This window comes from Homo sapiens, chromosome 12, assembly GCF_000001405.40.
Source record: "Homo sapiens chromosome 12, GRCh38.p14 Primary Assembly".
Lineage (NCBI taxonomy): Eukaryota > Metazoa > Chordata > Mammalia > Primates > Hominidae > Homo > Homo sapiens.
Window position 1 is genome coordinate 102,880,108 of NC_000012.12, and position 19,084 is coordinate 102,899,191.

The 19,084-nt window shown below is 42.0% G+C and overlaps 1 protein-coding gene and 1 long non-coding RNA gene across 4 annotated transcripts in view; one reads left to right on the forward strand and one right to left on the reverse strand.

Moving 5' to 3' along the window:
* The window catches only part of PAH (phenylalanine hydroxylase), a 121,553-nt gene that overhangs the window by 43,219 nt on the left and 59,250 nt on the right, over nt 1–19,084 (reverse strand). For all 3 annotated transcript variants that reach the window (NM_001354304.2, NM_000277.3, XM_017019370.2), the window contains one exon: nt 14,628–14,811. In NM_001354304.2, coding sequence (NP_001341233.1) covers nt 14,628–14,811 — 184 coding nt within the window. The remainder of the gene's footprint in view (nt 1–14,627; nt 14,812–19,084) is intronic.
* Nucleotides 1–19,084, forward strand: part of LOC124902999 (uncharacterized) — a 40,575-nt gene that overhangs the window by 15,687 nt on the left and 5,804 nt on the right. The window lies entirely within an intron of this gene.

The following is a 19,084-nucleotide window of genomic DNA, read 5'->3' on the forward strand; positions in this document are numbered from 1 at the left end:
CCAACTGCTGAAACTTTGGAGTCTCGGATGACTCAATACCATGCTCTGTTCATTTGGTGAGGAACGTGGCTTCCCGCCTTGTCACCTACACTCCTCCCCAAGCTCTCCTTCCTCAGTGGGTCCAGCATTTGCGTTGTACACTGAACCTCTGTTGTCAGTGCCAAGAATGGGAGTTGTTTCCCACCCAGGTTTGCATGGGCTTGAGAAAGGAATCAGCACTTTAGAGTCACCCAGGGCTCAGCATCTTCTAAAAGATCTTTCTTGCTTCTCCAGGACATTGCCACCAAGGGGTTTCAATGAATGGCACCCACCTGGACAAGGGGGCCTGACTCTTTCCTCTATGTTCAGGACCATGGATAATCTCATCCCCACACTGCGGAGGTAGCCTGCCTCCACTCATTCATCATCTCTCTTTTGCCTGGGAATCGTTCATAATTCTGGCAGTAACTGCTGCCCCCAGAAATAAGGCAGAACAAGTCCTTTCTTGCTGCAACCCCTTCTTACTTAGGGGACATTTAGAATGACCAAAGGAGATTCCACAAATATGTACTGAGCACCTCCTGCGTACCAAGCACAAAGCATTGTGGGGTGCATACAAGGGAGTCACCATCCTAGTGGTGCTTACATTCTGGCAGGGACAACACGAGATAAGCAATAAATAAATGTAAATACATGACAATGTCAGGAAATTCTTGAAGAAGAAGAATAAAGAAGCATAAGGAAATGGAAAGTGATGGGGATGCTCTTTTTTAAATTCTTTTTAAAAAATTCCATCTTTATTGGGGTATAATTGAACAATAAAAAATGCATATATATTTATAATATAAAATTACAATTGCATAAAATTGTATAATTTATATTTACATAATTATATTTGTATATATTGCATATATTTTATTATTTATTAATTTAATTTATTTATTTGAGACAGAGTCTTGCTCTATCACCCAGGCTGGAGTGCAGTGTTGTTGTCTCGGCTCACTGCAACCTACGCCTCCCGGGTTCAAGCAATTTTCCTGCCTCAGCCTCCCAAGTAGCTGGGAATACAGGTGCGTGCCACCACACTCGGCTAATTTTTGTACTTTTAGTAGAGACAGGATTTCGCCATGTTGGCCAGGCTGGTCTCGAACTCCTGACCTCATGATCTGCCCACCTCGGCCTCCCAAAGTTCTGGGATTACAGGTGTAAGTCACTGCACCTGACCTATTGCATATATTTTATATAACACATATATATTTATATTATAAAATTATAAATACAATGTAATTATTTAATAAATGCATACATCATGGTTACCATGATCAAGTTAATGAACATATTCATCATCTCATGTAGTCATTTTTCCTGTGCGGGTATGGAGTGGGACAAGGACACTTGAGATCTCTCTGAGCAAATTTCAAGTACACAGTAAAGTGTGATTAACAATAGTCACCATGCAGTACATTTGACCCCCCAGTACTTGCTCATCTTATGACTGAAACTTTGTACCCTTGACCATCTCCCAATTTCTCTCATCACCCTACCCCCTGGCAACCACCATTCTACTCTCTGCTTCTATAAATTCAACACATTTTGAATTGGATATAAGTGAGATCAAGCAGTATTTGTCTTTCTGTGTCTGGCTTATTTCACTTGGCATAATGCTCTTAGGGTTCACCCATGTTCTCCCAAATGACAATATTTCTTTTTTCATGGCTGAATAATATTCCATTGTGTGTGTGTCAGGAGGGTATCGCATTTTCTTCATTCATCCACCTGTTGATAGATATGTAGGTTGTTTCCCTTGGCTGTTGTGAATAATACTGCAATGAACAGGGGGTGCAGATATCTCTTTGACATACTGATTTCATTTCCTTTGAGTATATACTCAGACATGAGATTTCTGGAAAGTATGGTAGCTATATTTTAATTGTTTGAGAAACTTTCATGCTGTTTTCCATAATGGCTGTGCCAACTGACATCCCCACCAGCAGAGTACAAGGGTTCTCTCTTCTCCGCATCCTTGCCAACTCTTACCTCTTGTCCTTTTGATGTTAAAGACAACATGCTATTTACTATGAAATCCTCTGCCTCTAGACCCCAGAGGGAAGACCCTGGTGACTTGAAATTGCCTTGGCATGGCTCAATGAAATCTGGGATACTCAGGATCTGGCCCTAGTCCAGAGTTGGTTTCCTATTTGTGTCATGAATAGTCAGTCCAGCAATGGTTAAGAGTCTTAAAACAGCCAGACAGCCCAGGTTTGAATCTTATCTCTGCATTTACTATCTATGAGCCCAGGAAAAGTTATTACATCTCTTTGTGCCTCACTCTTCCTATCTTTGAAATGGTGATAATAGTAGTACTAGAAAGTATTGCTTTATAAGAACAACATGATGTTAAATGAGTTAATATGCGTGATTTATGGAAAACAATACTGGCACATAGTAGACAGTATTACTGCTCAGCTGTGAGTTACATATGTGTGTATGTATATATACACATACACGTATACACACATACTATATATATCTGTATATATATGCATATATATACACTATATATATATATATATATATATATATATATATAAAATTTTTTTCTACTGTATCCTTAGCTTATCATAGCAGAGAGCAGAGTGGAAAGTTTTCCAGCAAGCCTAGAAAGTCTCTACCACTTATTTCGTTGTGTAACTGGCAAGTGTCTTATCTCCTGGAGCCTTAGTTTCCTTATTCACAAAATGAATTAAAATGCTCTTTCCGTATTATTGGATGAATTAAATGCTGCAGCAATATGACACATCTTAGCACAGTGGCCCATAATATGTGTTTTATCAATGTTAACCATTAATATGACAAAGATTTTAATGATGATGATTAAAGGAGGAGGAGGAGGAAGAAGAGGAGGAGGGAGGAGGAAAGAACAGAGATTGGGATCAGGAAGCTGGTTCTCTGTCCAGCTTGGGTATTAAGAGGTTTCTAATCTTGGGCTTTAGTTTCTGTAACATGTGGGTATTAGATTTATCGGCGCAGCAAACCCTTTTGAGTTTCATATTCAGAGACCTGTGGGATCCTCTGAAGGGCTGAGGCTGGCCAGATGATACTTGAAAAGTCAGCTCCACTTCAATCAATGTGTCAACCTCATTTATTTTTCAGAAGTACAGTCACTACATTTGTTCAGCTCCCAAATGCACAGCCTCATTTTCCTTTCTCCTCCCACCAGAGAAACAACATTCTTCCCCACAGACCTCAGTCAGGGTGCACCACCTTGACTCAGGGCTGTGCAGGCTGGCTGGCGCTCAGCGAACGCCAGAGGGCAGCAGAACCAGCATATTTCTAGCTCTGGGTGACTTTTTCCTTCTCCAGAGGAAAATTCTTATCGGGCCACCTGGCTTCATTCAGCCCTCTTGGTAGGAGAAACAAGACAAAATAAAACAAAACGAAAACAAAAAATTTGAAGAACTTGAGAAAGTTGCCAAGACTCAGAGGATTCAAGTCTTTGTAAAAAGAAGACAAAGATCAAAACAGCTCACCACATCCCAGACCTCTGAGCTCTGCACCTTGTCGCAGAGGCTGTGAGGGACCCCGAGGTAGCACTGCGAGGCTGCAGGGTGCTCACCTGAGTCCAGGGGCCTTTGGTGGCTTCAGGACCCCATCATCTTCAAGAAAAGGTCCAAAACACAGCCAGGCCAGAGAAGTGGCAAAGCCTGGGGACTCATCATACACACTTTGGAGCCAGACCACCTAGCTCCAATCTCTACTTTGGAACTTTGTGCAAATTACTTAAGCCCTCTGTTCCCTAGTTTCCCATTTACAAAATAGCTATACTAATAGTACGTCCTTCAGAGGGTTGATGGGAGGATTAAAATGAACTCATGTATGAAGAGTTCTTAGAATGGTGTCTGGCACACAAGTGCTTCTAAGTATCTGATAGTGGTATTATCATTATAGAAGGACAAGTGAGAAAGGGTGAGAAGCTCTGGTGCTCACTTCCTCCAGGCAGCAGCCCAGCTCCACATTTGATCTATTCCCTTACATAAAGTTAATGCCCTTGGGTGCAGCCTATTTGTCTTCTAGGGTAGGATGAGGACCCAGGTCAGACCTAACCATTAAGAGAAATTCACCAGCTGTCATGTTGGAGAGCAGGGACAAAGCCTGAGGAACAAGACCAGGGAGAGGCACCTGGGTGCTGGGTGTTGGGGACTGGGGGTCGATCCCTGATGTGGCTCACTTCCCAGCTTGCAGAGTTGTGAAGCAGGCAATGTGAGGACCTCAGGAGAGACCACAGAGGACCCCAGACAAACTCAGTGCCGAGCCTTGACACATGTGCTGACTCTTTACATTGTGCAAAGGGTGTGCACATCCTGGGTTTGAAGCCAGCAGGTCTGAGTTCAAGTCTCATCTTTCCCACCCACACAACATGGAAGTCTGAGCAAACTACTTAATTCCTGCGTCTCTGGCTTTGCATCTGTGAAATGGGCAAGGTGCTGAGCACTTGCCTGCCTCCTTCTTTGGGGTGGGAAGAAACTGACCCAAAACAGGTGCATCTGTGGCATCAGTCCTTGCACCTGAGCCTCATAATAAACTCCAGAGTTGCTTGTCTGACTAAGATAGTGGTCCCAGAGGCCACTAGAGGCCAAGCCAGTCCATGCTTATGTCTCTAACCTCTGCACCTGGGCTCTTCTGATTTTTCCCAGGCAAAAAGGTAGGACTACCCTTTTTCCTCTAAAGTTACATTTTCTTGAGCGCTTATTATGCACCAGATACTGTGCTAAGTGCTTTACTTTCATCATCTCCTTTAATTCGCAAAACAGTCCCAGGTGGTAGACATTATTGCTGTTCACTGATGAGCAAATAGGCTCAAAGAGACAAAGTGATTTGCTCAAGATCACTGAGCTAGCTGAGCCGAAAGAACAATTTTGCAGCCGATGCACTTCACCAAAAAGCAATGCTGGGCTTAGAATAAAGGTGTGGTGGTGGTGAAGGGGTGCTTTTAAATTTTAGATTCCTTTTCTCCCACCTTGAGAAGGAAAGGAAGCGTGACAAACTAAGGCTCTAAAGGTGCTTGAAGAAGATCCCTAGGACAGCCTTGAGTCTGCCCCATCCTGAGCATCCCTGGATTTAGGGATAGTCACTTTTTAACCTAAGTTCTCTTCACATACCCCTTATTTTCTTTAGTGAAGGCTGCAGGTCCCTTCCCCCTACCCGGTCTCTCTCACAAAGCTGGAAATAGAGACTGACCCCAGCGACCCAGGCCTCCGTTTTGAAAAGTTAAATCAGATTAGCTCATTAATGGCCTTGCCAAATACCTCGGCCGGTGGGCTGGCCTCTGTGAGCCCCTTAACAGCCTCTCCGGCGGGCGGCTGGGCTCCGCGGTTAATGAATGACTTGGGCAGGCTGGGGCAACAGAGGCCCTCTGTGGAGCGGAGGCACCCGGTGGGGGCAGATCATTAATAAATATTGATTTGGCTCCAAAGGAAGCAGCCCGCTGGAGAGCTGGCCCTGGACACCCACGTAGTGGTCCCATTAAGTCGGGGTCAACTGCTCAGCCGGGACGCCAAGGGGTGGCTGGCTCAGGAGCACCACTGAGCAAAAGACCCCCCAGGCCTGGCCAGAGCCTGCTTCCTGGCCAGTGGGTCAGAGGAGGCCCATTCAATTTACAGCAGTTCAAGGTGCAGGCTGAGTCCAATCTTAGCCCCTCCCTCCACCCGATGTTCACCAGCCCCAGGGGTTAGCCAGCAAGGCACCCAGGCTTGCCTCCAGCCTGTCTCAGAGAGAGCAATAAATCCTGGTTTCTTGGGTCTGAAATAGAAGGCTGTTTTCACCACCTCCTCCCAGGCTCCCGGATGTCTCCTCTTAGGCAATGGCCTCCAGCCCCCCAGAGAAGCAGTCCCTGTGTGCTGATCTCCACAGCTCCCACAAAGGAAGAAGAGATGGCATGCCAACATCCTGCAGGAGGAAGACTTTTGAGGGTTTTATTCTTCTCTTTTAAGTAGCTTCTACTTTCTTTCTGGAGAAGGAATGCTCTTCAGGAAGCTCTTGGCAAGAATGATGAGCCAAAGGCTGGCTGATGATGCCCAGCTATTACCCTCTGCCTCCTGGAGACAGCAGTGGTCAGAAGTCAGGAGTGGTGATTTTAGGACAAAGCATCTGTTCTCTCTGTTCACATGGAAAAATAAGAATCCCCAAACCAGATGAATAAAAGGGATCTCACACATGAAGTAAAGAGTGAAACTGTGCTTAATAAGCGGAGGGAGTGAGTGAATAGATATGAGTGGAATTATGAATAAATAAAATAACCTGTAGGGCTATTTATTCCAACCACCCACCTAAATTACAACTACCCTCCCAATATCCTTTTTAAGATACTATGTATCTCATAAACATTATCCATTGGCAGGTTGGCCCCCATATCCCCAAATATCTAATTCTGTCTTCTGAGAGCTCACCATTGCATTGAGATCTGGTTACCTGTCACTGACAACCCTAGTTATGGTCAAGCAACATTGGGTCAAACAGAAGACATCTAAAGCCTCCTCCATGTATTGGTTATGTCACTCCAGGAGCACTTATTTGGCCCTGCTCCCCTTCTTCTCATCAACTGACCCCACGCCTGGGCTCAGTGCCTTGGTGCACCTCCTAAGACTACTGAGGCATGCCATCTTCTCTATCATTGCCATGTATTATGCCATGTAGCCACAACCTACTAGATTACAAAATGCATGGGTCTAGGCACCATGTCTGTCTTTTTCACTATTGCATCCTATCATGTGGCTGACACCGAGTGGGCACTCAATCAATATCGGTAGCATAAATGATCAACTGAATTAGGAGATAGATGTGAATGAGAGAGGAAGTTGGCAACGCTGACTCTGTGCTGTTTGAGAAGGAGTAGTAAGAGAAGGAAGAAAATCCCAACAGTCAAGGTTTTTAAAAAGTAAGGGCCACATAATTCATAACATGCTAAGGAAAGAGAGAATTCCTGGGGGATATTTGTATCAAATGCTACAAAAATGTCGAAGAGGATGAAAAAAAGAGAGGCTATTGGTTTTGAGTATTGTCAGAATGGTACAAGAGAAAGGAAGATGAGAAGAAAAAAGGGAAAGAAGAAAGAAGGAAGCAAGGAGGAAAGAGGATGGTGGAAGTAGGGAAGGAACGAGGAAGAAAGAAGGGAAGGAGAAAGAAAAGCTGCATGAAAAGCTGACCTTCTATCTCATATGCCAGTGCCATGTGCAATCTAGCACAAAGTCAAGTGGATGATGTTAAGCACAAAAAATATTTGGAAATGAGAGATCATTCACAGGGACCCTCATACAATCCCACACATGAAGTTGTCTCCGTGGCTGCTAGGTAAGCCTGGCTTCAATGAGGTGGTGGCTGCCACCAACTCTTTATATATTATTATTGGCCTGCTAAGTGTCTATGTCCACGGAGCTGGTGGTGACAAGTGACCTGTTATTGGCTGGGGTTATAGATCATAGAGAGCTCTCCCTATTGAAACTTAAGGATGTCTAAGATCAAGGGCCTATTCAACTCAAGCAAGTCCAATTTGATCTTTCAAGCACCCTTATGCACAGGGTACTCCACATAATCCCCTCCATGAGCCACAGGAATTGGGAGAGTGGGTCTTTGCTCCATTTCACAGATGAAGGAGAAGCGGTCATCCATCTGGAAGGGTGTCAGATGGAATTCAAACCTAGCTAGTAGTGTACAAAATGGAGACCCAAATCCTGGCTCTTGACTCTAAATTCATGGCCCTTAGTGCATCACGACAATACTCCCTCAATCCAGCATGATGGCAAAGTGATATTTAGTTAGTCATTCCATGTCCTTTTACTTCCTTCTTCAATTGAGAGAACACACCTGTCACACAGAGAAAATGTATTCCCAGTCTAAATTTTTCTACCTTTCACAATCTTTTGGACTGACCCAAATGGCATTTCACGGTTGCCTTTGTTTATCAAACTTCAGGAGTTTTGGGAGTTTGGACTTGCTCAACCCTAAGATTCATTGTGTACCCTTATGAGAGACTTAAGGGTAAGTTTACTTGTAACCTTTTGCATGGGCCCTACACGCTAGGCACTTTATGCAAATTATATCATATAATCCACACAACCACACTGGTACCTGGATTTCTTCATTTGCAGATGAGAAAATTGAGGCCTAAAGAGGGAAAGCAACTTGGCCGAACAGCTACAGCCCAGGAATTGAACTGGAAAATCCATGCAACCTTTTAATTATACCTTTCTGACTTGTTTTCTAATATTGAAAACAAGAATAATACTATGTTTGCTTTAGCTGCCTGAGTTGGTTGTTGCAAAGCTTAAATGAGATAACCTAATGCGAAAGAATTTGGAAAACACTGGGTGTGGCATATCACTGAGGGATTCCTCTTAGAATGAGAGCCTCCTTATAATTTTGTAATCTTCCTGAGCTTGAAGCTCTGTGACCTGGCAAACTAGATGGGCTGCAGAAATAGCATTTGCTCAGGATCTTCCTTTGCCAATGAATAGAGTTGCCTGTGACTGACTGCAGGGAGCAGACAGTCTACCAAGGATATGAAGGGACTCTGCTTCCCACTCCTGGGTTGGTGTCACCTCCCCCTGAATGGGCTGATCCTCTCAGCTGGAGTCTGCTTGTCTCAGTGAGGCAGTTTGCTGAAACGAGTGACCTCCCCAGCTGCCAGGACTTAGTGCTACATCAGTGCATCCAGCAAGCATCCAGGTAAAGACTGAAAAAGACAGCCAATCCTGTGTGTTTTTGCAAACATGCAGATACTTGGTCTCCTGCAGACACAGAGCCACATACATCTACAGCTGTGAAAGGCACACATGGAATGCACAAAGTGAAATGCACGGGAGAAGGTTTAGAACTGAGAAGAGGGCAATGGGAAGGTGGAGACAGAAAAGCCAAGCAGAGGAAAGGAGAGAGGAAAGAAAAGTGCAGGTGGTGGGAGTGGGGAAAAACTCTAACCAGATGGATTCCCTTCCAGCCCTAAGCGGCTTCTCTCTAAAAATTCTTAACTCTTTGGGAACCATAGCCCCTTTGAAAAATCTTGTCTCCTAAAAATTATGCATGCACACCCATGTATTATCTTGCCCACAATCCCAGGGGCTTTTCAGAGCCCTCTAAGGAATCCTATCCTCCCTTCAACCCCAATTGATCTGAAATGTCAGCTTTACTCAGCACAGTTCTTCAGGTCAGCAATGTTGAAGCAGAAGAAACTCAAGAAGGCAAGGAGGGGCAACAAGAGGGAAGGAATGACTATAATGATGTTGCTTTTGTCTTCTCACAGTAATCATAAGTGTTCCCAGACAACATAGATAGATAGATAGATAGATAGATAGATAGATAGATAGATAGATAGATGATAGATGATTGATGGACAGATAGATAGGTAGATAGATGATAGATAGACAGGTGTAGATGATAGATGATGGATAGATAGACGGATAGATAGATAGACAGATAGATAGATAGATAGATAGACAGGCAGATAGGTCTTTCTGCTTTCCACAGAACCAGTAGTTGTTCTGGCAATTTGAACTCACTTTTCTTCCCCACCAGGACCCTTATAATCACCATAGATTAAACAAAACCCAACAGATATTTATCTGCTCTTGGAAAATAACTGCAAACATATTTCTCAAATGGTGATGTTCCTAACTTCTGTCTACCCAAGACATTGTGTCTGTCTGCTTCTCCTGGCTGCAATCTCTCTCCACGTAGGAATTTTCTAGCCCCCACTAAATGTAATGTCATGCAGTCGACTCAAAGGGAAAGGTAAAAGGATTAGTAGATTGATCGATGAAAGATATTAATGCTCTTTCATGTTGGGTTGAAGAAGGATTTGAAGTCATCAGGAAAGAGGGTAGCAGGAGAATAGACCTCAAGTATTCAAAAGACTCTCTGGATTAAAATCCTATTAAATTCACATCAGCTTCTCCAGGAGGCATTTGAGAAGGTTGGGGTTTCTTTACCATGTCGCTGTAATTAACCTTCTCTTAAGCTGTTTTGGGTGGGGAACTTTCGCAATTAAGAAACTGAAAAACTTTTATTTTCTATCACCCACATGGCTTTTTGAATGGTTTAAAAACTAGAGTGGAAAGTAGTTTAGCTTAATTGATTTGAGGGGTTCAGATCTCCTACTTGAACCTGCTGTCAGACTCGCCTCTGAGATCTGAGCCCCACAATAAAAAGGGCATTTTGTCCGGAGAAAGAATCAAAGGTTCAGATCTACTACAATGCTTTTCTTCCTCTGACTGTTCTCCCACTGAGTCCTATAGAAAGGGCAACTTTGCAAAGGAATGGTTGTTCCCCTTAAGAAAAACCTGTTTCTTGGCCCAGACCCCACTTCACGGAAACTACCACAGAAACCCAAAGAGTCTTTCTTGGCAGATGCCAGGTCGTGGCATGTCAACATCAGCTCTCTCATTACAGGTATGGTAAGGTCAGGTGGGGGCAGCCACTATGGGATTGGGTGACCAATCATCTGAAGAAATAAGGGTCACAAAACACATGTTATTTTAAAGGGTTGGTCTTAGCTAGTTTTTCTTCCCTAGGGAAAATGTCATCCCACTTCAAATATCAACAACTTTGACATTTTGAGCAAGAAAGCGAGAAGCCCCATTAGGGAATTGAATCTGTGCTTCCTCCAGGCTCCAATAAACCCAACTTTTATTACATGATGCCTCTATGTGAAAACATTAACTTTTTAGGCCGGGCACTGTGGCTCACACTTGTAATCTCAGCACTTTGGGAGGCCGAGGTGGGCGGATCACCTGAGGTCAGGAGTGTGAGACCAGCCTGAACAACATGGCGAAACCCCGTCTCTACTAAAAATATAAAAATTAGCCGGGCGTGGTGTCATGTGCCTGTAATCTCAGCTACTCGGGGAGGCTGAGGCAGGAGAATGGCTTGAACCCGAGAGGCGGAGGTTGCAGTGAGCAGAGATTGTGCCACTGTACTCCAGCCTGGGCGACAGAGTGAGGCTCCATCTCAAAAAAAGGAAAACATTAGCTTTTTTACTTTCTTACTTCCTGGATCCTCAGAGCTAAACATGAGTGGAGAACAGGCGGAATCACACCAACCCTGTCTTTGTCACAGCACCTGTCCCTCTATTCTACTTACCTGGGTGTGTCTTCCCCTTTGCCAGGCTGTGAGCTCCTTAAGAACAGGCAGATTGACCCTTTCTTTCCTAGCACTGTGCCCGGCACAGAGCTGCTCTCAACACACCCTTGCGCATGACCCCCCAGAACCCACTGTTTGCCTTAAGGCAAGTCACAGCCTCTGTTTTCACAATGAAAAATGAAGGGGTCTGTAGGGCTGCATGACCTCTCAGGTCATTTTCCAGTTGCCAGACTCTGAAAAAGTAGCTGTGTACAGGCTGCATTTTGGTCGCTCTTGTGCTCATGCCAGTGTTTATAATAATAATGATGATAATGGTAAGAATAGAGAATAACTTTAAGTCCTTAATTAAACATGCTCTGCTCTGTTCCCAGTGCTTCACTTGTGTGATTTCACCAATCCTATAAGGCAGAGGCTCTTGTGACTCCCCTTTGATACAGTGGGAGACTGCAAGGGTCAATGATTTGCTCAAAGTCACACCGAGTGTGGTCGCCGTGCTTCCTGAATCTGCACTCTTAACTCCCCCTCAATGTCCCCACTAAGAACCTCCTTTCTGAGCCTCCAGTTCAGGCTGCCGGCTCTCCAGCTGGTTTACTATATATTCCCTGGCTCCTCCAGGGGCTGGCTGTCTGCCTGTCAATTGCTTTGATTTCCTTCCTCATGGCCCCAGCTGGCCCAGCCTCCACCTGCTCCAACCAGAGGCTGAATTGCCCCAGGATCTGGCAGGCCCTTTGTCCAAAGGGTCTGCAGCTCCTGTTGAGAGCAGGTGGCCGGAAAAAAGCAAGGGAGGGCAGTCATTGGGGAAGCAGCTTGGGAGGCTGAAAAGGAAAGAAGGCAGGATAGGACTAATCCAGGGAGGAATTCCAAGTGCCTGCCCTCCAGGGACCTGAGCCCATCTGCATGGCTGTCCACTCTCCACAAGGCCAGAACACTGGAGTGGGCTTTCCTTGCCTTGGTTATACCTACAGGAGAATGAAGGCAGAGATGAGTCTCCTAGAAAGGCCATGGAGCTACCTTTTAAAAAATGTTTCAGTGGCCTGTTTTACGGGGTGGATCTTGTCTCATTTTAAAGCATCTCTGCCTATTCAAATGCTTCTTTCAGCTATGGTGCCTGAACTCCTCTTGACCCAAAGTCTTTCCAAGTGTTTTTGAAAGAAACTCGATTTTACAGTAGAAAAAAAATAATTTTTTAAAGAAGTTAACCTCAGCAATCACATTCTTAGGTATTTACTTGAATCAGTTGAAAACTTATCTTCACACAAAAAAACTGCACATAAATGTTTATTCACAGCTTTATTCATAATCATCAAAAATTGGAAGCAACCAAGATGTCCTTCAATAGGTGAATGAATAAACAAACTGTGGTACATCTTGACCATGGAATATTATTCAGGAACAAAAAGAAATGAGCTATCAAGTCACAGAAAGACATGGAGGATTTGTAAATATGTATTGCTAAATGGAGGAAGCCAGTCTGAAAAGGCTACATACTGTATGATTTCAACTATGTGACATTCTTGAAAAAGCAAAACTATGGAGCTAGCAAAAAGAGCAGTGGTTGCTGGAAGGAGTCTGTAAAGAAGAAGGAATGAATAGCTGGAGCACAGGGCATTTTTTAGGGCAATGAAACTATTCTGTATGACATTGAAATGGTAGATACATGACATTACGCATTTGTCAAAACCAATAAAACTGTAAAATACAAAGCATGATCCCGAATATAAACTATGGACTTCAATTAGTGATAATATATCAATATCGGCTCATCAGTTCTAAAAAAAAATACCACACAAATGCAAGATGTTAATAGAAGAAACTGAGGTAGGGATGAAAGACCTGGGAACTCTCTGTACTTTCTGTGCAGTTTTTCTGTAAACCTAATACTGCTCTTTTAAAAAGTCTATTAAGGCCAGGCACAGTGGCTCATGCCTGTAATCCCAACACTTTGGGAGGCTGAGGCGGGTGGTTCACCTGAGGTCGAGAGTTTGAGACCAGCTTGACAAACATGGTGAAATCCCGTCTCTATGGAAAATACAAAAATTAGCCAGGCGTGGTGGGGCATGCCTGTAATCCCAGCTACTCAAGAGGTTGAGGCAGGAGAATTGCCTGAACCCAGGAGGCAGAGGTTGCAGTGAGCTGAGATCGCACCATTGCACTCCAGCCTGGGCAACAAGAACGAAATTCTGTCTAAAAAAATAAAAATAAAAATAAAAAATAAAATAAAAAGTCTATTAAAAAATGGTTCATTTGAATATGCTTGAGGCCCTAAAAAGCAGTCACCTTCTTCCTCTGTATTGCTTTCAGGCTAATCATAATCATAATAACAACCACATGCTATCATTTGTCCAGCCCTACAGTGCACCAGGCACTGTTCTAAGCACTGTTTATGTATGACTTCATTTAATCCTCACAAAAGCCCTATGAAAAATTGAGGTCAGGGCAGTTAAAGCAATTTGTCAGGGTATCAAACTCAATATGTGGAAGAAGTAGGACTTGAACCACAGTCTATTCAACTTCAAGCCCACACTTATAATTTCTATACTCTACCACCCTTTTCCTCCCCGGAGGATGAGTAGCATTTCAGTACGTAAATAATGGGACAATGCAAGTTTTGACAACTCCTATATTAGTCATTCACTCAGAAATATGTGCAGAGCACCTGTGTACCAAGCAGTGTGCTAAACTCTGAGGATATAAATATAGGTAAGAGAGTCTACCTGCCCACAAGGAGATTGTATGAGAAGAAGAGACAGATAAGAAGATGGAAAATGACAATGAAAGCCCTAGTAACAAGGAGCCAGGTGTCTCCAGCTCTGGAATTGGCATGTTACAAAAAGGACTTGAAGAGATCCCTTTGGTTGGAGTGGAGAGATTCAAAAATCCATTCAATCATCTTGAGTTGATTTTTGTATATGGTAAAAGGCAGTGGTCCAGTTTCAATTTTCTGCATATGGCTTTCGAGTTATCCCAGCAGTATTTATTGACTAGGAATTCCTTTCTTCATTGCTTGCTTTCATGGGTTTTGTTGAAAATTAGATACTACTTATTGGGTATTATGCTGATTACCTGGGTGACAAAATTATCTGTATACCAAATTCCCATGACACACAATTTACCCGTGTAACAAACCTGTACATATAACCCTGAATTTAAAATAAAAGTCAAAAGAAAAAAGAGAGAGAAAAATAAAAATAAATAAAAATTAAAAGCTTATAAAGTAAAAAAAAAAAAGAAAAAAGAAATAGCTATCTTTAGGAAGGGGAAAAATAACTAAAATTCACTATATGTCTAAAATATACCAGGCACTTGCCTAGGTCCCCAACCTATGTCCACTCATTTAATCCCCCAAACAGTCTTCCAAGGCATTATTTCCAATACATATATATTAATTTTGCTTCCGCAAAATAACAGCAATATATATTAAATATACATATATTTAAATATGCTGTTAAATATGTATATTGCTGTTATTTTATGAAGACAGTGTGGAGTTACTTATGTTGCAAAATTCCTCTAATTCTTACCTGTGTCTTTCTTCTTATCTCGTGAAAGCTCATGGACAGTGGCACCAATGTCATGCCTCAAGATCTTGATGATGTTTGTCAGAGCAGGCAGGCTACGTTTATCCAAATGGGTGAAAAATTCATACTCATCTTTCTTTAAACGAGAAGGTCTAGATTCAATGTGGGTCAGGTTTACATCATTCTCCTAGAAGAGAGAATGGGGAGGGTGAGGAGACAGTCACTGGAACTAACGCAGGCCAAAGATGCAGAACCAGAACAGGAAAACCTAACGCAACAAAATGGAGAGTTCAAGAATACAATTATTTTTATAAGAGTATAAAAAAGTCCTTAAATTTGCAAAAGTTGTTTACTTTTTCTTCTTTAAAACCAAGTACTAAGTGGCAGGAGGTGGGGCAGTTAGTTCACATGTCACAATTTAATCACATGAAAATCTGCTAAAGGCCTAGAATTGCCACTATAAGATTTTGATTTGGTTAAAATATTTAGGACAGTGGCTGCCAAAAATATTTACATAGGAAACACCCCCACTTTCCAAACGAAATTCTATGGAATTACAATAAATAAATAATATAGAAGCAACATTGTTCTGCTTGAATAGGGGGTCAGACTTATTTGATTTATATCTAATATCTAAATTTATTGCTTGTGAGACGATGTACTTTCATGTTTCCATTCCTCAGTTTTTCCATCTGTAACTTGCTGGTCTTAATTATACCTGCTTCATAAGTTCATTGGGAGTGTTGGATGATATGATACATGTGCACCACTTGGCACATAGTAAATGCTCAGTAAAAATTATCTAATATAATTACCACTAATATATTTATATAGGCCTGGCGCTGTGGCTCACGCCTGTAATCCCAGCACTTTGAGGGGCCGAGGTGGGCAGATTGCCTGAGGTCAGGAGTTGGAGACAAGTCTGGCCAACATGGTGAAACCCTGTCTCTACTGAAAACACAAAAGAATTAGCTGGGCATGGTGGTGTGTGCCTGTAATCCCAATCCCAGCTACTTGGGAGGCTGAGACAGGGGAATTGCTTGAACCACGGAGGTGGAAGTTGCAGTGAGCCAAGATCGCGCCACTGCACTCCAGCCTGGGCGACAGAGCGAGACTCTGTCTCAAAAAAAAAAAAAAAATATATATATATATATATATATGTATATAAAATTACTTTCCATTCAAGGTATTCAATAAATATATACATTTGTAACACCCAACAGTGGCCAATCATCCTTCTAGCGGCTTGGGATCCACCAGTGAACAAAATAAAGATGCTTTCCTTTATAAAGCTTACATTCAAGTTGAGGGGATACAAACAACAAACAGAAACTCATTTGTGCATGTTATCATGAGAAAGACTAAGGCAAAAATGCAACACAGAGCAGGGGGAAGCAAATGGGCATTCCTGAGACAGGGTGAGGGCAGATTGCAGGACTAAATAGGGCAGGCACATGGGGCCTCATTGGGATGGCAAGATTTATGTACAGTCCTAAAGGAGTTGAGAGAGGTGAAGGCCGGAAGGTGGCAGCATGCCTGGCCTGTTGAAGAGACAGCCACAAGGTGGGTTGATGAGAGTGGATGAGGTCAAGGGGAAAATAACAGGAGACAGTGTCAGAATAATCACAGGGTCATTGCAGGCCATTTTAAGAATTATGGTTTTGATTCTGAAAGAAATAGGGATCTTTGCAAGATTTTGAGCAGAGGAAGAATATGATCTCATAGGCTTAAAAGGACCAGTCTAATTTCTATGTTGAGAATAAACTTTAAGGGATAAGATAGACCAAGCAAGTCCTGTCAAGAGGCCATTGCTGAAATGCAGACAAGACGTGAAGGTGGCTATGTCTATGTTGGTGGGAGTGGAAATGGTAAGAAGATATTACATTCAGGACGTCTTCTATAATCACCTCAAAAGGATCAAAATTATCCAAGGATATGAGAAGAGTTTGTGGGTAGGAAAATGGAAAAAGTCCATCATATTCCATGCCACCCTCAGATTTGACTATTACTCTGTTGTCTATGTGGCTAAATAAAGAGAATTTCAGGAATCCAACGGGAAAAAAAGAGCACATCATATCTCCCTGAGGAATATCGTCTTTAAATCAAATATCATGGGCCAGGCTAGGTACTTGGACAATGCAAGGATGAATAAGATATTTCCTGCTTTTACATTAGCCATTCGTACCCTCATCAGACCATTTTTAGTGGCTGCCTGATGATCCGCAGCACAGATGTGGTCATAAATTCTTTAACCAATACCCTAGTGATGGGTATGTTGCTTCTTGTTTTTCTGCCACTAGAAATAACGGTCAGCAATATACATAAAGTTTTGCCTACTTGTCTAACTGATTTCTCAGAATAAATGCCTAGGGGTCAAATTGTTTAATCAGAAACTACCCTTTAAAGATTCTCTATATATTGTCCCATTGCCTTCCAGAAAGTCTATACTCATCTCTTCTATCTTCCCACTAGAGGATCCATGTTTCTCACCTGTACCACCTTTAAGGATTTTCAATATTCTTGACTTGACAGATGAAAACAGCAAATAACTCATTGTTCAATTTTTTATTTAACTGCTGATGACACTAAACATTTTTCCTAGGTTTAGTGGCCATTTGCATTTCTTTTATGAATTATCAGTTTATACCATTTTCTTATTATAGAGATTTTTTACTGATTTGTAATAATTTTTTATATTTTCATATTAACTCTCATATATATGTGTGTGTGTGTGTATATATATATATATATATATATATATAATTCAAACTGACATTTATTCTTGGCTATTCTTAAACACCTCAGTGAAAAAACAATTTTTAAAATGCTCTCAAAAAATGTTGGAACATCACAAGTATAAATAGTCTTAGAGTTTTTAAGGAATGTAGCTGTGATGCATTATCAGAAAAAAGGCAATAACTTCTTTCTCAAAGGCAATAACTGCCTGAGTATCAGAGTTTGCTTGATGTCTCAAATGTCCCTAATTGTAGAACCAAATTCCTTGGACTCCTCTGGATTACTATGGCATCTGCTGAGTGCTAGGTGCAAAATCACCAGACATAAATAAGAAGCACAAGGTGGGTTGTATAATTTGTCCAAATGCATCCTCTAAAAAATATTAGGCTGGATGACTCAAGAGTTTTATTTACAACTCTCTTGTCCCTTTCCAAGAATGGGCTGTGGGGGACTGGAGCTCATCTGTAATTATGCCACAGTTTTCTTGTAAAACCTGGACTCTTTACACTGGTTCTGAAGCAGAAATGAACTAAAAAATGAATGTTGGTCAGCAGCAACACTTGGCAAAGTCTACTAAAATACACTGAACCCCCAACACAAAGATTTCAACCTGCAGTCATCAGTCAGTGTTTTCCTGCTGGAAGCACTTGCTAAGCATGGAAGCATCCCACTCCCACATTCGTGCAAAGAGCTGGGAAGCTGCTTTCATTAAATGCCATAAAAATGTGAAAATAATGATTATTTACTACAGCTTCTCAATTTCAGTGTCTTTAGATGGGATATTTTAGCTCTTATGGTTATTACAAAAACAAAGTCATTTATTTTAGTTGGTCCTCTAACATAAATGCCCAGCAAATCATCTGCTACTTAGTCAGAAAGTATGTGATTTCCTTAGTAATGCTATTTATTTTGGAGAAAACCAAGGAGTATCATATACACTTTATTAAAACAAACAAACACATAATAGGGGTTATTCCAATATTTAAATGGACAGAAAGTATCTGAAAATATAACTAAATAACTCTAAAATTTCAAAAAATTAAAATTCACTGAACTTGTAGTTGAAGAGGTGTATCTTTTGCCTTGATCATTAACGGTATAAGGTTCAAAAGAACTGTAGTGATGCCTTTTCATACTTAAGTAACACTTTATAGTATAGAATTCTTTTCTGTGACCATCCCAACAATCCTTTGAAAAGGTTAAGGGAGACATAAAAAAATAAAATCAGAGATGAAGGTGCTTGGCCGCAAGTAGCTAGAGAGCGAGGCCCATTTTTTTTCTAATTTCAGTCATTAGTTTTTTAACCACACTGCCTTTCCTGCCAGGCATACATACAGTGAGCACTCCACAAATATCAACTTTGATTATTATTACTACCATTATGTCAAACACAAATAATTAAAACCTCTGGGTGTAGTAAATATAATAAGTAACCTCAAACAGGCTCACGGTGCAGCCATTATTTATGGCTCCAACTGCAGACAACACACCCCTGAGGGCTGTGGCTAGGGAAACCCACAGAGGGGACCCCACTAGGGAGAGAGAGAATAGTGAGGAGGTAATGCCAGAGAGATATAGATAGATCTGAAGCTTTCTCTGGCAAACAGAGATTACTTGTTAAACAAAGCAAAGAGCAATGTCATCCTTCTTGGCTCAGGAATAAAGAGAATGGGTAGGTTCCACCTACTATTTACCTAAGATGAAACTTCAAAAGGAGACATAAC